The 21,931-nt window shown below is 39.1% G+C and overlaps 2 pseudogenes across 1 annotated transcript in view; both read right to left on the reverse strand.

Moving 5' to 3' along the window:
- RHOT1P2 (ras homolog family member T1 pseudogene 2) lies at positions 2,624-3,156 on the reverse strand (annotated as a pseudogene).
- A 6,243-nt stretch (positions 3,157-9,399) lies between these two features.
- Positions 9,400-21,931, reverse strand: part of ANKRD20A11P (ankyrin repeat domain 20 family member A11, pseudogene) — a 36,676-nt pseudogene continuing 24,144 nt past the window's right edge. Inside the window, exons 2-6 of the transcript NR_027270.1 lie at positions 19,697-19,781; positions 16,863-16,891; positions 16,698-16,770; positions 10,670-10,740; positions 9,400-9,493 (exon numbers count right to left, since the gene is read on the reverse strand). The product of NR_027270.1 is annotated as an ankyrin repeat domain 20 family member A11, pseudogene (transcript). The remainder of the gene's footprint in view (positions 9,494-10,669; positions 10,741-16,697; positions 16,771-16,862; positions 16,892-19,696; positions 19,782-21,931) is intronic.

Here is a 21,931-nt window from a genome sequence, read left to right on the forward strand (position 1 = left end):
TGGTTTTCCTAGGCAGTGTTTGTGTCCCTGGGTACTTGAGATTAGGGAGTGGTGATGACTCTTAACGAGCCCGCTGCCTTCAAGCATCTGTTTAAGAAAGCACATCTTGCACCACCCTTAATCCATTTAACCCTGAGTTGACACAGTACATGTTTCAGAGAGCACGTGGTTGGGGGTAAGGTTATAGATTAACAGCATCCCAAGGCAGAAGAATTTTTCTAAGTGCAGAACAAAATGGAGTCTCCTATGTCTACTTCTTTCTACACAGACACAGTAACAATCTGATCGCTCTTTCTTTTCCCCACATTTCCCCCTTTTCTTTTGAACAAATCCGCCATCGTCATCATGGCCCGTTCTCGATGGTTGCTGTCTCTTTGGAGCTGTTGGGTACACCTCCCAGATGGGGCGGCCGGGTAGAGGCGCTCCTCTCTTCCCAGACAGGGTGGTGGGGCAGAGGCACTCCTCACATCCCAGACGATGGGTGGCTGGGCAGAGGCGCTCCTCACTTCCCAGACGGGGTGGCCGGGCAGAGGTGCTCCCCACTTCCCAGATGATGGGCGGCCAGGCAGAGGCACTCCCCACATCCCAGATGGGGTGGCCGGGCAGAGGCGCTCCTCACTTCCCAGACAGGGCGGCGGGGCAGAGGCGCTTCTCACATCCCAGACGATGGGTGGCCGGGCAGAAACGCTCCTCACTTCCCAGACGGGGCGGCCAGGCAGAGACGCTCCTCACTTCCCAGATGGTGCGGCTGGGCAGAGGCACTCCCCACTTCCCAGATGGGGTGGCCGGGCAGAGGCGCTCCTCACTTCCCAGATGGGGCAGCCGGGGAGAGGCACTCCCCACTTCCCAGACTATGGGCGGCCAGGCAGAGGCGCTCCCCACTTCCCAGGTGGGGCGGCCAGGCAGAGGTGCTTCTCACTTCCCAGACGGGGTGGCCGGGCAGAGGCACTCCCCACTTCCCAGACTATGGGCGGCCGGGCAGAGGTGCTCCTCACATCCCAGATGGGGTGGCCGGGCAGAGGCACTCCCCACTTCCCAGATGGGGCGGCCGGGCAGAGGCGCTCCACACTTCCCAGATGGGGCGGCTGGGCAGAGGCACTCCTCACTTCCCAGATGATGGGCGGCCAGGCAGAGGGGCTCCTCACCTCCCAGATGGGGTGGCCAGGCAGAGATGCTCCTCTCTTCCAAGACGGGGCGGCCAGGCAGAGGTGCTCCTCACCTCCCAGACGGGGTGGTGGCTGGGCAGAGGTGCTCCTCACATCCAAGATGGGGCGTCTGGGCAGAGGTGCTCCTCACTTCCCAGACGATGGGTGGCCGGGCAGAGGTGCTCCTCAATTCCCAGATGGGGTGGCCAGGCAGAGATGCTCCTCACCTCCCAGATGGCGCGGCTGGGCAGAGGCACTCCTCACTTCCTCCCAGATGGGGTGGCCGGGCAGAGGTGCTCCCCACTTCCCAGACGGGGCGGCCGGGCAGAGGCGCTCCTCACCTCCCAGACGGGGCGGCCGGGCAGAGGCGCTCCTCACCTCCCAGATGGGGCAGCCAGGCAGAGGTGGTCCTCACCTCCCAGATGGGGCGGCCGGGCAGAGGCACTCCTCACCTCCCAGACAGGGTGGCTGGGCAGAGACGCTCCTCACTTCCCAGATGATGGGTGGCCGGGCAGAGGTGCTCCTCACTTCCCAGATGGGGTGGCTGGGCAGAGGCACTCCTCACTTCCTCCCAGACGGGGTGGCCGGGCAGAAGTGCTCCTCATTTCCCAGACCGGGCAGCCAGGCAGAGGCACTCCTCACCTCCCAGACGGGGTGGCCGGGCAGAGGCGCTCCTCACTTCCCAGATGGGACAGCCTGGCAGAGGTGCTCCCCACATCCCAGACGGGGCGGCTGGGCAGAGGCGCTCCTCACTTCCTAAACAGGGTGGCGGCCGGGCAGAGGTGCTCCTCACTTCCCAGACAGGGCAGCCGGGCAGATGCGCTCCTCACTTCCCAGACAGGGCAGCCGGGCAGAGGTGCTCCTCACTTCCTAGGTGGGGTGGTGGCCAGGCAGAGGCGCTCCTCACTTCCCACATGGGGCAGCTGGGCAGAGGCACTCCCCACATCCCAGACGGGGCGGTCGGGCAGAGGTGCTCCTCACTTTCCATTTGGGGCAGCCGGGCAGAGGCGCTCCTCACTTCCTCCCAGACGTGGGGCGGCCGGGCAGTGGTGCTCCTCACCTCCCAGATGGGGCAGCCGGGCAGAGGCGCTCCTCACTTCCCAGACGATGGGAGGCCGGGCAGAGTCTCTCCTCACATCCCAGACAGGGCAGCCAGACAGAGGCGCTCCTCACATCCCAGAGGATGGGCGGTCAGGCAGAGACGCTCCTCACTTCCTAGACGGGGTGGCGGCTGGGCAGAGGTGCTCCTTACTTCCCAGATGGGGCGGCCAGGCAGAGGTGTTCCTCACTTCCCATTCGGGGCGGCTGGGCAGAGGGGCTCCTCACATCCCAGATGATGGGTGGCCAGGCAGAGACGCTGCTCACTTTGTAGACGGGGTGGCGGGTGGGCAGAGGCTGTAATCTTAGCACTTTGGGAGGCCAAGGCAGGCAGCTGGGAGGTGAAGGTTGTAGTGAGCCGAGATCCCGCCACTGCACTCCAGCCTGCTGTCTTTGTCTGTTCTTTCATTTATGAGAGGAATCCATCGACTTGTTACCTTATCAATAGAATGCTTGTTGTTAACAGCATACAATATACAGATGATATTAGCCTGAGATATTTCTTGATGAAGTTGTTCATTACTCTGTTCTGCTTCTGAGTAATCTACAATGTGTGTTGGAACTCTCTCTGGGGTGACATCAGCTGGAACGGTGATTTCTTCTGCCCGGGGAGGAACCTCTTCTGGAAATTCTTCACTGACCAGAGACATAATCATTGATGTCTTCCCAACTCTAGGTTCTCCCACCAGCAGGATCCACACGTCTTTCTTCATGTCGGCGGCTCTCGGGGGCCAGCCTCCGCCCGCACGTATGGAGTGGACTCCTCTCACCAGGAGCACCCACCCCACGGCGCCACCTGCCAGCCTCTTCGGCTGCCAGGGCCCGCCGCGCTGCCCCCTCAGTTGCTTCCCCGCAAGAGAGCCGGGACAGCACCAGCTCCGCTTCCTCCAGCCCAGCAGGCTGCAGCGGCGGCGGCCAGAACTTATCTTTTAAAGTATTGAATATAATATGCGTTTTAGAAAGTTGTTCAGTAAGAAACTAATTCTTATCTTCTACTTCGGAAATATCAGAACTCATTTTTACTTGTTCAAAAACATCTTGTGTTCTCTCTAAAGCAAGTTTTAAGTTTCTTTCTGTTTTCACATTTTCACTGTGTTTACTTATAGCAGCAGCCAGTCTAGACTGATAAGATTCAATTTCAGCTTCCAGTTTTTTCTTGCTTTCTTTTTCCTTCAACAGTTCAGAATTGAGCCTTGTATTCTCAGCTTTGAGATCATTAAGCTCTTGTTGATACCGGAATGCTGTTTTTGTTATCATTTCCTCATTGAGTTTTATACAATTTTCAAGGGCAGCATTTGTTCCTTTAGCAATTTTAATGTCCTTAAGATATTTATTTTCTTTTTCCAGGTTGTCATTTTTCATTGTGCATATTTCCTGTCTGGGTATAGCAATATCTGTCTTCAAAATGCAATTTTCATCCGTCAGATCTTTCACTTCTTCATGATTATGAAAATCCTAAATAAAACAAAAGAAAGTTTTAGCTAGTACTCAATAAAATAACATATCATGATTACCTCTGAAGTTAAAGAACAACCTGCACATCAATGCACTAAAAAGGTTACTGTAAGTGGATATCCAACTGGAGAAAAAGTTGAAGCAAAATTTTGAACCTTATAGAGCATAAATTCCAAAAAGTTCAGAAATTTATTAAAAGTCAATGAATTTATAAAAGTAAACACACACAAACACATGCACACCAGAGAATTTTTAAGAATTTCAGAATTGGAAAAGCCTTTCCCTGAATTACAACAAACTCAAAAGTATAAATTAAAGCATTAACAAATTTGACTAAATTAAAATATATCAAAAAATTGCATTTACACTTTGATATCTAACCCATACACCACCCTATAGTAAGAACCTTAGTTCACACGTATTTGGACAGATAAAATTTCCCAGAGTTATTACAGTTCTGTTTCACTGATAACATTCTATTTCAATTTGACTCTTTTAACACTTTTATAGTCAGTTATAAGAACTACATTTACTAACTCATAAATCTAGACATTATACTAGTCACTCCTATATACATTCATTGATGAACTCATCTAGTTACCACAATTTTGAGAAAGAAAGGTTAAAAATATAAGCAAGCTACAGGATTTTCCCCAGGACTTCTGACTCTACTTCTACTTCTCCAACAGATCACAGTTACTTCTGTGGTGTAAATATATCCATATGAAAGAAAACTTTTATTTCAAAACACCAGTGGTAAATAAGATAAAATTTATAGAGCTCTTCTAAGAATATCATGAGATTATTTGTGATTGCAATAATTTCTGTTTCCTCTTTATAATATTAGGTAGAGTAATCAATATGAAATAGGAGAAAGTACAAGGAACAATTTTACTGGGAACAAATCTTTATCAATAGGTTATCACTAAGTATATATTATGGCATATTATTGTTTTCAAAAGCTCTTTGTAATAAAATAATATCCTATGTGGGTGCCAAGATTTATAATAAATATTAATAATTGTACCTGTAAGTGTCATCACTCATTTTTAAAAATGACATAATATTTCTGGTTTGTTTTTTTACCTAAATAATATATATTAAATCAAGTGGATATTATAAGTTACATTGATAAAATAAAGTTTAAAATATAGAATTTTTACTAAAGATTGATTTACCTGATTTGGAGTATTTCTTGCAGTCTTCGGTTTCATCTCTAGTGATTGAACAGTTGGTTCAAATTATTTTGCTTCAACTTCTTTCTTATATTGTTTCTCTTTCCTTTCTAATTCTTCTCTTTTTTTTTTTTGTACAGCATATTAACATTTGTTTTTTCTTCATTTTCTTGTTTTAAGGTGCATCTGCAGATAAAGACATTTATCTTAAAATTCATTTTGTTAAAAAATAAACAGTTTATCCTGTTATCTACCTCTGCAGATATTGTTTGTTATCCTAATAAAATTTCTATGTTCTGGATTATTTTTCCTTTGCAGTTCTCAGATATTTAATTTCTCACTTCAACATCTTCAAAAGAATGCATATACTTGAAAAGTAGTAAGGAAAGAATATTCTGCTAAAGGTTTTATTACTAGTCACTCTAGTATATATTTTAAAAAAGGATACTGGAGATAATTCAGTAAAGTTACAAGTTCAAAATTACCTTTTCAAATCACACAGTCATAATTACTCCCTAATTAGAAAAGGTCATTTACAATCAACTAAAATTTTAAAGTTACTATTTATTGACAAGTGTATAAGTTCACTAGAAATAAATTTTCATCTTTATGAAATATTGCGGGTGTCTCTCCAAATGATTTACAGAGTAAGATGTCTCTCACAAAAACTATATCTGCAAATGACTGTCATCCAAAACTAGGCTAAAGAGTCTAACATCTGTTACCCCACACTTTTTATAATTCTTTCTTAATACTTCCAATTCACCTTCTTATTACATATATTTTATATATTTATTAGCCTATTGTTCATTATGTGTAATATATAATTAATGCCCTTAATAAGTGTGTGTATGTTTACACAAGTTATGTTTTCCTGGGAAATCTAGTCCCAGAAGTGGAGTTGTTGAGTTAAAGGGATGTCAGGCTATTTGAAATTTTGATACACAGCACTAAGTTACCCTTCAGAACTAATTTACCATTTCATATACCAACAGTGAATGAGAATGCCTTTTTCCTCACATTTGCCAACACGAGTAATTACTTTTTAAATATCAGCATGACTTTACAAAATGTATCTTATTTTATGTTAATTTACATTTTTCTGGTTACCAGGTAGGGATAAATATCCCTGGTAAAAATATAAAATTTGTTAATCATAAGGAATATTAGTCCCATTTTGAATTAGTTTATAGCACAATGACAATTATCTCCTGTGAAATACTGCTATAGGTGGCAAGGCACAGTGGCTCACTCCTGTAAACCCAGCACTTCGGGAGGCTGAGATGGGCAGAACACCTGAGGTCAGGAGTTCCAGACCAGCTTGGTTAACATGGTGAAACCTCATTTCTACTAAAAATGCAAAAAATTAGCCGGGCATGGTGGCACATGCCTGTAATCTCAGCTACTAGGGAGGCTGAGTCAGGAGAATCACTTGAACCCAGTAGGCAGAGGTTTCAGTGAGGCAAGAACACACCATTGCACTCCAGCTTGGGCAACAAGAGAGAAACTCCATCTCAAAAAAAAAAAAACCCAAACAAAACAAAACAAACACACTGCTATAGGCTTACTTACCTATCATGCTCTTCCTTCAGTTTCTTGGGAAATTGCTGAGGTTATGTTTTCCCAATCTTTCTTTGTTGGGTTAATCTGTCAGCAGCAGAAGAAGATGTACTATGACATATATTTTCTGATAGTTGTATTTTTTCACTTTTGTATGTATTATTTCCTTCTTTGACCTTTAATAAAAGTAATATGAATAATAATTATTATTTTATTTAATAAAAAGAACATTTTCCCTGATTTTTTCACTTGATTCAGGTTAACTATCACCATTTTAATGATAAAAGTATTTTGTGCTTACTTTAATTTTATCATTATACATAATTATTATAATTATAAGGTACTCATCATTTTATCATTGAAATTTTTGTCAAGTCTGCTCATTTCTGTTTGAGTGAATGGAAGAATTTTCCAAAATTTTAAAAAGTCCTCTTCTCCATTTTGTGCTTTTATTCCCATCCACTCTTTGCTATCTGACATAAATGTTTATGCTATCTGACTAGCAGAAACAGAGAAATAAAAAGACACAGGTATAACATATGTCTTCTGTCTTTACCACGTGGATTTTACATGAAATAGCCAGATTAAGAGGATGTGACTTTGTAGGGCTTCAGGAACAGTAAAGAAGTTTTCCCTTTTCTGCACTAAGCTATTCTTTTCCCCAGTGCCTTTTATCTCTCTCTCTCTCTTTTTTTTTTTTGAATCCTGGGATATCAAAAAAGTAAAGGTTCTCCCTGAACTATGGGAACCAAAGTTTGCCACAACACAAGAAGCAGAGTGAAACTGCTGAGTTTCTAGTGCAGAATTATGGAAAATGAGATGCTTCCCAGATTTCACATTCTATTACCACAGAAGTTTATAGGTGAAAACCTTTGGTACAGTTACCTACTTTAGCCCCATTATCTACTGATAATGGGAGTCAAACCAACCAAGACATATTAAATGTTTCATCCAGAGCTCTTGAGGTGGCATTCCCTAGTATTTCATGGCACCAAATAACATGATACAATTCCATATTGCTGAATTACATAAATTACCAGATAAATTTATCAAATTAGTCAGATATATTAAAAGTCTAACTTAAGCAAAGCAATTTAATGCCTCAGAGGGTGGAAAAAGGCCTCATCTGCTTTCACTTTGAAAGAAGAAAATCTCTGGATTTTTGTCTATCTTTAGAACACAATGTACAGAACTCAACTTTCTATAAAGAGTCAAAGGCTAAATTTTTGGCTAAGAAATTATGCTTCTTACGTGATAAAAATCATACATGCCAAAACTTACCATACTTTATTAAACAACATAATGTAAGGTCTGATTCAACAGAAATATTGGAGAGTGGTGATTTTTTAAAATATGTGGAAGTATATATTTGTTTTCAAAATATTGGAAATAACCATGATGGGACTATAAGTTCAAACAGTTTGAGCTAAGCAGATAAACTTGTGCATGAAAACACATTAAACAGACTCATTTGGCTGGGAATATCCATTGCAACTCTCAAGGCTAGACGTGTTTTTGTGGCTCATCTCAGTCATTGCTTCCCTCCCACTGTATTACCATTCTATCATTAAATAAATGTAATTCATCTCTAAATGAATACAGAAAAAAGAATCTAGAATCTAGAGCTTATTTCTTTAGCAATTTCTTTATGTTGATCTGGTTCAGAAGGTCACATGGTATATGGCTGAATTAGTTTCCCAGCTCATATGCCACTTGGAAGACTGATAGGGAGACTTAGGTTGATTAATGAACAAACATTATGAGAACATTCTCCAGAATCGTTATTTAGATAGCAAAACTAATCTACTTTGACACATAATTACACATTTAGATAACCCCACTGTAACTGTACACATGAGATTTTCTTGAATAGAAAATCTGACTGAATCAAATAATTGATAAAGAGAAAAAAGAAGCAGCAAGTGAACCTCTGTCTTTTTGAAGTTGGACTTCCTTTCTCCAAAGCTAGGAACTCTACTGGTAACATGCTACCTCATTCTTTTTTACTATTATTATACTTAAAGTTCTGGTACATGTGCACAACGTGCAGGTTTGTTACATATGTATACATGTGCCATGTTGGTGACCTTGGAATATCTTGCTGTGTCTTCTAGCTATATTTTTGATGTTCTCTCACTATGTGGCAAAGAATAAACCCACATTTTATAATTCAAGATTCATGCTTTTGTAGTTATTAGCACTGGGATTGTCATATAGTGGCTTCTGGAGTAAGCACTGTATTGGTTTTCTGTTTTTATAAGTGTCTGTAGCAGCAGAAATACTGTGGCTTTCTATCTGAATCATATGCTTCATTTCTTTGAGGTAGGTAAACCACAAATCAAAAAGACTTTCTGGATCTCTAGACTGAGGCCAATGACTAATGTCTAATTTCCAATTAGTGGTATTTGGGTTTATATTTTTTGCCATTTGCATGTGAAACTCTTAATCATCTTTCATTTCAATCATAATTACTGGGTTCCTTAATGTTTCAGTTTCTGTATCATAACAAAAATTTTCATCATCTGTGTTAGAAACAAGCTATGTGTCTGGTTTGTTATCATTTTTATAGTCTGATTTATTTTCATTTAAATGAAGCTTAGAAGATGACTGGTAAGTGTATTTCAGGGACCTGGAGTGTGAATGGAATAAAAAGACATTTGACATGGGATTCCTCTGTTCAGGCGCTGCCTGGAATGCCACAGAGTTAGACCCTCCAGATGCATTTTTCTCCTCACAATCAGGGACCTGATTCATCAGATTAGAGGGCACTCCTTTTTCGTTCGTCCCTCTTTAGAGTTACTATGTAGAAGCTCTTCCTCAGGGCAAGCAGTAATTTTGGAGTTTTCAAAACTTTTACCAATATTCAGCTTGAACTTGCTTGTAATGAATTTTAAAGAAAGTCATGAATATACAGATAGATTCCCTTTATCACAATTCTTACCCAGTTCTGGTTCTTGAGGCTTTTCTTTTTTTTTTTTTGGCAGGTGCAAAAAGGAAAACAAATTTGCTTGTTTTGTTTCTCAGATGTCTTTTCTGTCAGAGTGCATGTTCTAAAATTAGCTTTAATCAAGTATAAACAAAGAAATATTAGAAAATAATTAAAATTTAACTGTGAAACTTAATCTGTGTGTTGCCCCTCTTAAATTATGGGATTGTAACTAAAAAGTGAAAAATAATTTGCCTTGGCTTAACACGGGACAGAAACATAAACCGGCAAGCTGAACTCTCAGTGTTTGTTTGGACTAAACTTAATGCATTATGTGTAAAGTCTACCAGAAATGAATTCAAAGATGATAGGTAGTATTATAAAAGCTTCCTCTCTTACAAAGAGTTTACCTCGGCATACCAGAAAGAGTGAGCCCCTACAGTGCATGTAAATTTCTGAAGATTAACTAGAGACTAGGCAAACACTAAATTATTAAGAGCCAAACTGAACAACAATAAGAAAGAGAAGCAAAATTTTAAATTCTAATTCAAATGATATACTATGATAGTGTTATGTATCTAAATAGATTTTCTGCTCATATCCACTTCTAATATATTTTAAGTTCCACTAGTGATAGTGTTTGGATTTTTTTAATTTTAGTAATATTTACTATGTATTTATGTTGAAATAAAGTTATTGTTTGTACCCTGATACCAAAGGTCCCATTCTGCAAGGTAGGATTCTCATAAAAGGCAACTGGGTTGACTTTTATGACCCCATTCACTCCCTGAACACAGAAGTCAACTGGCGACCACAAAACAGAATAAATCTTTAACCTCGGCACTGGTGACCAGCAATATAAAACTGCAACATTTGAACCACTGGCAATGATGACTCCTTTAACACTAGTTTAACTCAGTGGCCATTGTTGTTAAATTGTTCATAATTTCTATTCCTTAGTAATATGACCCAATATTTCATGTTACCTTCTGTATTATGAGTAAGGTTATACAAATAAAAGAGCAAGATAATTGTGAAAAATTCTTGCCTCAATTCCAAGGGTAAAGACAGCTATGAGTTACTAGAGATAGTAAGAATTACTAGAATAACGAATAGTTACTAGAGATAGTAAGAATATCTTAAGTTTCATAACTGGTTAAAATGTTTTAAAAATTAAATATAAAATTATGACCTATTGGATTCTAAAGGTATAGTCCAAAAGGTCATGTCATTTGGACTACGCTTTGTTACTAAAGCAAAAAAAAAAAAAAAAACCTAATATTAAACAAGAAATTTAAATTTTCATATACCTGTGGTTGCTTCTTTTCACTTCTTTCACGCCTTTGTTGCTCTTCCTCTGAAGCCACTGGTAAGGCTTTTTCTGTTGACAAATTCACTGTTTTAGTTCAAATGAACTAAGAACAGTTAGATAAGACTATAATCTTTATAAAAATAAATAGAAAATAATATTTCTTTGTATTTTATATTTTGAGGGTTTAAATGAAGCTTAAGGTTTACTGAAATATTTACTTCTTTAAGAAATACTTCTAATTATCCAAAACTTCAACAAACCACTTGGGGAGACACTAGATATCACCAGGTTCAAGCCATACAAAATCTCAGGGTCACTCACAAATTGTTCCACCCAACATAAATCAACAAAACTGTTGGAAACAAAACAAAATTTTGAAATACAGTCAAAACATACAATGTACATAACAGTATCTTTTTAACAAGACACTAATTGAGTTGGCAGTTACTAATAATTTGCAAAATTATTGTTGTTTATATCTTAGTGTGCACCCCATTTTTTACATTGCAAATGTTTTCCCCTGCTATTCTGAAAAATTTATTTTCATCTTTTAAGACTCAGAAAGTAGGCTGGACATAATAGCTCACATCTGTAATCCCAGCACTTTGGAAGGCCAAAATGGGAGAATTGCTCGAGGCCAAGAGTGTAAGACCAGCCTGGGAACCATAGATAACTTTGACTCTACAAAAAATTAGGCAGGTATGGTGATATGTGCCTGTAGTCCCAGCTACTCAAGAAGTTTAGGTGAGAAGATCCCTTGAGCCCAGGAGTTTGAGGTTGCAGTGAGTCTCAATCACGCCATTGCACTCCACCCCGGGTGATAGAGTAAGAACTTGTCTCCAACAACAGAAAAAGAAAAAAAAAAGGCTCAGAATGCTGTGTGAAGTCTTCTTTGATTCTAGCTATCTTTCTCCACACACACAGGTGTCTGTTTCATTGCGGTCCCTTAGTACTTTGTCAATTTTCCTAGTGTCACTTTACCACCTGAACTGCACATCATGTCTTTACATGTCGATCCCCTTTGCTGCTAGACTGTAGAGGACAATCTTTTGAATAATCTTTGTATAAACAGTCTTAATTTTGCCAAATAATTAGTTATTGAGCTCCTGCTAAGTGTTAGGCACTGGGGTATAAGGAAGGAACATAAAAGCTGTCAGGGATGGCTTTCCTAAAGATTATGTATGAGCTGAGACTTAGAGAGTGAGGTTAGCCAGATTAAGTGAGGCAGAGGGCAGGAAAGGGTGAGCACATGCCAGGCAGCAACAAGAGAGGGAGAGAAGCTTCCAAGAGAGTATGTATTTCTCTGCAAAAGAGGAATGGTGAGGGGGCCATTACCAGCAGCTGAGTAATTCCAGAGAAAAAGGCAGATGGGGAAAGGGCTACGGATGGAGATTTGGGCAGAAATCAGTTTCCTTTTCTTTTCTTTTTTTGGGACAAGGTCTTACTCTGTCTCCCAGACTGGAGCACAGTGGCATGAACTTGGCTCACTGCAACCTGGTCTCCTGGGTTCAAGTAATTCTCCTGCCTCAGCCTCCCGAGTAGCTGACATTACAGGTGCGTGCCACCACCACCTGCTATTTTTTGTATTTTATTAGAGATGGGGTTTCACCTTGTTGGCCAGGCTGGTCTTGAACTCCTGACCTCAAATGATCCATCTGCCTCAGCCTCCCAAAGTGCTGGGATCACAGACATGAGCCACCATGCCCAACCCAGAAGTCAGTTTCTGAAATCTTTATATAAAGCTTTAAGGTGCTTGGACATTAGGTATTCAGGAGTGGTTCATGGATCTATTTACATTAGAGATAATTAACTCTAAATACTGTGAGGAGCATAAAATTCTGAGGCATATAAATAAATGAACAAAGATAAAATATAAGGCAATGTTGCAAAGATGATGCAGGCCTGAGGAGATGTTTTCAGAAATATTTAGGATATAGGTATCAGTGGCCATTATAAGAATGAATTTTTATTGAATGAATAAATGTATATATCCAGGTCCCTGGAGAAATACACTCTGCTCATTACTTTACAAATTTTATCAAATGAGAAGTAAGATAATATACATAAACTGTTTCAGTTACTTGTATTTACTTTACACTTTTTCTGTTTCAGTTTTACTGTGCCAAGGAAATGCATTTGGGTTTTGTGGTGGTGGTTGTTGTCATTGTTGTTATTTTTTGAGATGGAGTTTCACTCTTCCTGTCCAGGCTGAAGTACAGTGGTATGATCTCAGCTCACCACAACCTCTGCTTCCCAGGTTCAAGCGATTCTCCTGCCTCAGCCTCCCAAGTAACTGGAATTACAGGTATTTGCCACCATGAACAGCTAATTTTGTGTTTTTAGTAGAGATGGGTTTTCCATGTTGGTCAGGCTGGTCTCAAACTCCCAATCTCAGGTTATCCACCCGCCTCAGCCTCCCAAAGTGCTGGGATTACAGGCACAAACCACGGCCCCCAGCCACATATGGGGATTTTGTTTCAAAAGTTCTGTTTCCTGTATCTACCAAGCTCATGAGAAAATAGAAGCAAACAAGTCATTTGCATAGGTAAGAAACTTTGGATTTATAGCTTGTCATCACTACTCTAGAAGATTATCATCATGTTTTATAAAACAAAATGTTAATTCTAGACATAAGGGGAAAAAGAAATTAAAACTATAGGGGTGGGGGAAAAATATTGCATAATTTATTACTGTTGACCTGATCATATGACTGATTAAGGGCACTGAATTTAACTTGTATGTGAAGTAGACCCCACATTAGCTGCAGTTAATCAGTAGACCAGGTGTTCTAGCAGAATTAAATTTGATGCTCCTGTGTTATCTTTAAATGACACAGCTCTTCTAAAACCCATACTCCTAGTGTATGATTATCCATTAAGACAAGGTGATGGAATGTGTGAATACAGCTGAGGAGACACCACAAGGCAAATGCTCAATGGTTCCCATTAATATTGGGAAAATCAACACTATAAAACAGAAATCCATAGGCATTATTTAATATTTGGTTTTGGAAGGTATTTTTAGTGACACTGCATACAGTTGTACTGAATAATTGCAAAATTAGAGATGTAAAAATAAAACAAAGGCACATTGTGTTTGAGTAGGGAATCTGTAGATGTCTAGCTGTTTTTCCCATCCTGTCCCAAAATTCTAAATATAATCATGGTACCCACACTCAAATTTATGTTAAATAACAACCTCAATGAAATTACTCTTTCTCTTCATTCTCTTTGTTATTTATATGTTGCTTTCCTTAAGGGAAGAATACAAATGCCTTGCTAAGAAGCATTCTGTTTGGTTGTAGGCTGCATAAGGGGAGTAAACACAAAGTACGTTGGACCACAAAATGACTTTTTAAAAGTCAGAACTATGGTAGCATGAAGCCAACTGAGGTAATCTAGAATAAAATTTTCTATGCTTCTTTCCCTTCTTTGCTCTCTTTCTACTCTAATAACTGCGATTCATGCAGGTAATGAAGAGTATAATTCCCTGATGGAAACACAGCTCCAAAATTAATCCTTTCTTTAACTATGAAGTTCGCGTGTCCAAAGTCTGTAGTTGCTGTCTGATTTTTGATCACGGATGGCGATACAGATATTTATCGTCAACTCACAACTTCCCAAATCTTTGAAAAGTCTTACTATTGATGGTTCAACTAGTAGAAACATAATCTAAAATATCTGAAAATAAAGTTTTTATTTATTAGAATGTAAATAGTAATACAAATTGTAATAAGTTTTAAAAGTTCTTTCTTCACTGAAGCAGTACCATGTTGTCCTCTACCCCACAAACACACCACTCCCTCATGGTCTAACGTATTTTAAAAGTCCTGTAATTGCTATTAACTCAGACAAGTTTACTTAACTTGCTCTAAGCTTCTGTTATTTACTACAATTTACTTTCAATCACTCAACGATCTCTATTATATATGTTGTTTTCCATGAGAAATTTGTTTATTAGTAATTAAGATTCTTCAGGGATAAGAAAATATTTGAATAACTAAGTTTGTGCATAAACACAATAAGGTCAAATACCCATGACAATATTGTGTGTTTCTGTGTACTAGAGACAAAAACTTCAAAAAAAATTTTAATGAATAAACATTAAATTAAAAACTGCTTTCATTAAACTGATATAATCTTCCCTCAATGCATGAATACCTTCAGAATTCACATAGACCAAAGAATTGTATAAAATATAATAGTCTTAAAGATCTTATTTGTAGCTGGCACAGTGGCTCCCGCCTGTAATCCCAGCACATTGGCAAGCCAAGGTGGGCAGATCACCTGAGGTCAGGAGTTTGAGAGCAGCCTGGCCAACATGCTGAAACCCCATCTCTAATAAAAATAGAAAAATTAGCAGGGTATGGTAGCACGTGCAGGTAGTATCAGCTACTCAAGGGGCTGAGGCAGGAGAACTGCTTGAACCTGAGAGGCAGAGGTGGTAATGAGCCAAGACTGAGCCACTGCACTCCAGCCTTGGTGACAGAGCAAGACTCTGTCTCAAAAACACAAACAAACAAACAAAAAACATAATTGTTCCCATATAAGTCTATGTTCACAAAAGATCTGAAGAGTACACAACACCGTGAGACAGGACAGACATATATTTTAAAAGTTATATTCCTGGTTTCTGTAAAAATAAAATGGTTGAATTTAAGCTTTTAAGACAAGTCAAGGAAAAGAGCAAAAAATGCAAAAGTGAAACTTGAAAGGTCATTTCCCCATCAAGGGTTCATGATCACTGGACATTCACAAACTATATTGTTCAAAACATTAGTTCTGAATTTTGATCTGAGTATCCCTGGAGTTTCAGTTTCATTCAAGGATGTCCAAGAGGTCAAATAAGACAATATCATTTGCTATTTTCAGTTTTCTTTTCTGAGAATAGCACAGCAAACTTCTTCAGAGAAATGAATTGTCCTAACTTCATAGGCTAAAGGCTCACGAGTCATATTTCTAAGGACATTTATAAAATATGGTGGTGCATGCTTGTATTCTGAACTTTTCAACTTTAAACTCTCATATAGTAAATATTAATAGATACAAACTGATTAAAGAAAAGCCCTCTTACTCTGACATTATTTTTATTTTTCTTTCTTTCTTCATTTATCAGCAACAGGAGAGTCTAACTAAATGTGGTAAAGTGGTATAAGAGAATACAATGAAAAGTGTAAAATGAATTAAACCAGAGATAATCATATCAATGTGGGTACATCTGGAAAATATAATACAAAATACACCAAAGAAAGTGGCAGAAAGGTATGTAAAGTGTATAACCACTCACATACCATTTTAGGACACAAATAAAAAATTCTGCATATTATTTCTGAGCATCACAATATAGTTAAAGATTTCAAAAGGGCATTGAAATGAAAAACAACCAACTTATGATGTTGGTAGCCTCTATGCAACCATGTTTTTAAAACCTTAACACCAAAAAGTCTCAAAATCACCATTTTAAAGGACCGTGTCTACCAGTTATAAATGAATAATTACTTTCCTCATTTTTCATAGTCAAAGATGCCACAAACACACACATACAGACACCTATACATACACATCCACACACAGTCTTGCTCACTAGAACATCTGATTGGCTTCAGATCATCAGTGTAATAACACTAGCAGCACGCCTCTAAAGTTAAAACAGAAACTGACACGTTAATAAGTAAAGCTTTCCTCTACATAAAGATCAGAACTCCAACTAGCACATAAATCAATGGAAATATCTTAGAGTCTCAAAATTCAGTGCTTTGAATCCCTGACAAATATAAAAATTTTATACTGAAAACTTCATGCTATTCAAAACATTAAAAGAGAAACATCTGAGTTAAAGCTTACATTTTTAAAATCTTTTTATGCTTCTAAATTTATTTTTATTCAAATATGGATACCAACAATAATATTTATGTCAATGCCTTCCATTCAATTTTGAACAAACAGAATTAGGGGTAAGAATAATGTGAGTACTTCCAATCATTTAATGTACTTATTTCCAGCATTCCATTTGTATTGAATATGTACCTGCTCTCAATGTCTGTACATTCTTTCTTTGTACTGCTCCTTTCACAGCAGGATCTTCCATTTCAGTGCTAGGCTGAATGGGTTTTAAAAGAAAATGATTCATAAATCATATATATTTTATACAATGTGGAGTTAGTGATTCAAAAAATATACATAATTAATTACCTTCAAGGAAGGATGTTTTGCAGGAGGTCCTACAAAGCAAAAGGGATATGTCATCAATTATATGTAAGTATGACAGGGCCAACCAAACACTCATGCAGTGTTACTATCGAGCTGAATTCTCATGCCTGGCTACAAAAATAATTACTTAAAGTTTTGAGGGTTCTTCTTGGCTTCTTCTTTTCATTGCCTAGGACAGCAACATGACAGAAACCTAATGAGGAAAATAGGAATACAGGATTCCTAAAATGCACAGCTTACATTTCAGTAGTGAGATTATGTTTCAAATGCCTATACCTAAAGTAGAAAAGCATGGATATCACCGTGAACATGTGGGCTAATGAGAAGAAAAGGGACCACTAAACAGAGTAGCAAATCAAACCTGGGGGAATCGATGTCCAAGCTGATGGTGAATGTACAGAGTATTTTAACTCAACACATCAGAGGCATTGCTGCCAGCATGTCACAGACAAATTCCCCTTGTGCTGTCACTTAGGAAATATACAGTTGGGATGACAGTTCAGGTGAATGTGTGATTCACCTCTCATCAAAGAAAGTGTTCTACATTGATCAGCTAGGATACACACTTATGAAATAACAGCTAATCAAACTACTCATTTTTCCCATGATCACATGGGCTACTGCAGCACCTACATTTCTCCTATCCCCTCATTTGGCCTTGAGTTAGAGCTCCTTGATCCACTTGTGTGAGGTGGTCCATAAAACACATCAAATAAACCATGTCGAATAAGCTTCCGATATCAAAATATTTAGCAAAAAAGAAAACACTGAATTACCACAGACTTGCTGGATACGAATACACATTTATATTTCAAAATCAGTGCAGTATTTATTGAAAATGAGAATTTTGGTATTCACAAATGAATTTTATAATACAATTGCTTCTAAAATTAACTAAGTTTGGTATATCATCTTACACTGTAAAGGACTTTTATAAAGCAGCTATCATATCAAAGAACTGGCTGTCTCAAAAAAAATTAGCCAAAGCATCTATATGCAACTTAATCACATCTTATTCACTCATGTCAATGAAACTTCTCTCTCTGAGGCCTGAAAATTATGAAGTGAAATGAGCTGCTGTGGTTTACCCCAGTTCTAGCACTCCCTCCTGCCTCCAGTACTCTCCACAGCAATAACCTCTTTTGTGAGACTGGGCATATGCTGAAGCAACTGGAAGTGAGTTGTCTCAAGTTTACTTGGCTTTAACTCCCAAGACCCCAGCAAATGTCTTTCTTTCCTCCCTCTGTGTCCTTTCACAATCCCTCTTCCTTTGAAAAAGTGATTTTTAGATCTGTCATCCTGATGCTTCCCTTCCTAACTGCTTTTTATGGATAATTGTGACAACTTTTTTCATCTGTATTCAGCAGTAGTATACACCTGTAATCTCTCTTTTTTCATCTCATTTTCCTTCCCCTGTGGCTAGAATCATGCTCAGAAATAAAAGGAAATTAATGCTTTCCCTGGATTCTGTTATTATTCAAATTGCTCTCCAGTGGTTCTTTTTCCAGATTTCTCTAAAGGAAGGCTATTCCCTTGCTATTTAGAGCTGTGTCCAAGGACCAGCAACAACATCACCTGAGTACTCATGAGAAATGCAGACTCCCATACCTGCTAAATCAGAATGTGCAGTTTCCAGAAGCTCCTCAACTAATTCATGATGATCTGAATGCCCTGTTTTACACTTTATGTGATTCCATATTAGTTTACCCTAATTGCCCTTTTTGGCCTAGCCTCAATTTCTTCCCTATTATGTCTCTGAATTTAATACTACATTATAAGCCATAATGTTTCTAATGAACTTTTAATCAGGTAATACCTTCTCTAATTAATTACTTCTCCATACATCACCCAACACTATTCTTTTCAATTACGTTAATTTGGCCTATATGATACTATCCTATGAGGTTACACTTTCTTTAAAACCAAATTATAGCCATATATGGCTGACCATTTATGGTGATGTTCATCTATGGTAGATAAAACACAGGTCTGTGTGGTAAAATACCTCAATCCTTAATGCCTCCCCAGTAGTGAGGATGACAGCAAGAGTAGGAAAATGTTACTCTAATTCTCTGACACATGTTGGTAATGGAAGTTCACTTTATCTTCCTTCCTATTTCTAACACCCTGTTCTTCCTTCTTCTACAGATCAATGTGACTTTACTACCCTCTATTACATACTTCCACATATGTGTTTTTATTTATTCCATGTACACTCTGCCCTCCTCATCTCTCTTTCTCTTTTATTCATTTCCTCTTCCCTCTCTCCTGACTTGCCTTAGGTCTTAGAGTATCTTAAAATGGAACTCACAACTCAGCTCCTTTAGTGGTACTCCCAATAGAATCAACTGCTGACCCTTGGTTAGAGACACAACTTATCACCATTTCACTTCTCCTTTACTTATTATATAGTTAATAGGACATTTTCTTTGCTGTTAGACTCTATTAGTGCTCATATTTTCAAAGAAACATTCCGTCAAATGGCTTTTTTTTTTTTGAGACTGAGTCTCACTCTGACACCCAGGCTGGAGTGCAGTGGAGCGATCTCTGTTTACTGCAAGCTCCACCTCCCAGGTTCACACCATCCTCCTGCCTCAGCCTCCCAAGTAGCTGGGACTACAGGGGCCCACCACCACACCTGGTTAATTTTTTGTATTTTTAGTAGAGATGGGGTTTCACCATGTTAGCCAGGATTGTCTCGATCTCCTGACCTCGTGATCTGCCCACCTCGGCCTCCCAAAGTGCTGGGATTACAGGCTTGAGCCACCGCACCCAGCCTCCAACAAATGACTTTTTAAATAAAATACAGTTCTCACCTTCTCCTTTTCCATTGACTATTCTGTTTCCTTTTCCATGGGAAGGTCCACGTAAAGGCTCTGACACTTTCTTGGGGACACACTGCTAAGGTAGTATCAAGAATTAGTTTCCATTTTAAAATTATAATGAGTTGCATCAAGAGTTTCTTGTCAATCTCTTTTTATGAAACTGGTTCTCACTCTGTCAACCCAGGGCTAGAATGCAGGGGCCTGATTATGGCTCACTGTGGTCTCAAACTCCTGACCTCAAGCAATCTTCCCACCTCAACTTCCTGAATAGCTGGAACTACAGGTGCATACCATCATGCCATGCTAATGTTTCTATTGTTATCTTTGTAGAAACACGGCCTCATTATACTGCCCAGGCTGGTCTCAAGCTCCTAGGCTCTAGTAAATCTTCGACTTCTGCCTCCCGAAGTGTTGAGATAAGCAGTGTGCACCACAACACCCAGCCCTAATCAATTTATTTAAATCAGTTTCAATGTTGCCCAGGCATAGTGGCTCACACCTGTAATCTCAGCCTTTTGCAAGGCCAAGGTGGGTGGATTGCTTGAGTTCAGGAGTTTGAGACCTGCCTGGGCAACATAATGAGAACACATCTCTACACAAAAAATACCAAAATGAGTCAGGCATGATGGTGTGTGCCTGTAGTCCCAGCTGCTTGGGAAGCTGATGTGGGAGGATCACTTGAGCCTGAGAGGTGGAGACTGTAGCATGCCAAGATCATGCCACTACATTGCAGCCTGAGCAACAGAGCAAGACCCTGACTCCCCAAAAATATCAATTTAAAATGTGAGAATGAAGAGAGATACAAACAAAAAAGAAGCCTAATTGGTCAACGAAATATGAGCTTAAGCCAAGAAAGAAAAGAAACAACATGAAGTACAATAAAGTACATGGGGAAATAGATCTATAACAGAGCTTTTTGGTCTTTCATATCCCTGATAATACTAATTAATATTTATGCTACAATTAGTTTTTTGTAAGTACTTCTGTGATAGAGTTTATTACTATAAGACATTCAATTAGCTAAATATGGTCAACTACCACTACCTGAAAGAACATTATTATAACAGAGAGAGAAAACTGGAACTTTCCATCAATGTTCCACCCAGAAAAAGAATTTGTCACCAGAATTCTAAAGAGTGATGTATGGCAGACACATGAAAAAATGCTCATCATCACTTGCCATCAGAGAAATGCAAATCAAAACCATAATGAGATACCATCTCACACCAGTTAGAATGGCAATCATTAAAAAGTCAGGAAACAACAGGTGCTGGAGAGGATGTGGAGAAATAGGAAGAGTTTTACACTGTTGGTGGGACTGTAAACTAGTTCAACCATTGTGGAAGACAGTCTGGCGATTCCTCAAGGATCTAGAACTAGAAATGCCATTTGACCCAGTCATCCCATTATTGGGTATATAGCCAAAGGATTATAAATCATGCTGCTATAAACACACATGCACACGTATGTTTATTGCAGCACTACTCACAATAGCAAAGACTTGGAACCAACCCAAATGTCCAACAATGATAGACTGGATTAAGAAAATGTGGCACATATACATCATGGAATACTATGCAGCCATAAAAAAGGATGACTTCATGTCCTTTGTAGGGACATGGATAAAGCTGGAAACCATCATTCTGAGCAAACTGTCACAAGGACAGAAAATCAAACACTGCATGTTCTCACTCATAGGTGGGAACTGAACAATGAGAACACTTAGACACAGGAAGGGGAACATCACACACCGGGGCCTGTTGTGGGGTGGGGGGAGGGGGAAGGGATAGCATTAGGAGATATGTCTAATGTAAATGACGAGTTAATGGGTGCAGCACAGCAACATGGCACATGTATACATATGTAACAAACCTGCATGTTGTGCACATGTACCCGAGAACTTAAAATATAATAGTAATAATAATAATAAAAGGTAATGTATGGCTTGAAAAGGTATATTTAATAGAATGTGAGTTGGGACTAATAAAAAGCTTAAGAAATGTTAATCAAAAATCTCAATGTTAAGATTCCAGTTCAATGATACTAGAAAATATATTGTAACCCTCTTTGCTACTGATGACCTATTTCTAATTTATTTCCTTTTTAATTATGGCATAATTTTTCAACATAACACATCAAAACTTATATGCCCTTAAATATTAAAAAATAATACAAATGTAAGCAATATTTTAAATACAATATTTAATTGTTAGATACATTAGGTAT

This window comes from Homo sapiens, chromosome 21 (genome assembly GCF_000001405.40).
Source record: "Homo sapiens chromosome 21, GRCh38.p14 Primary Assembly".
NCBI classification, from domain to species: Eukaryota; Metazoa; Chordata; class Mammalia; order Primates; family Hominidae; genus Homo; species Homo sapiens.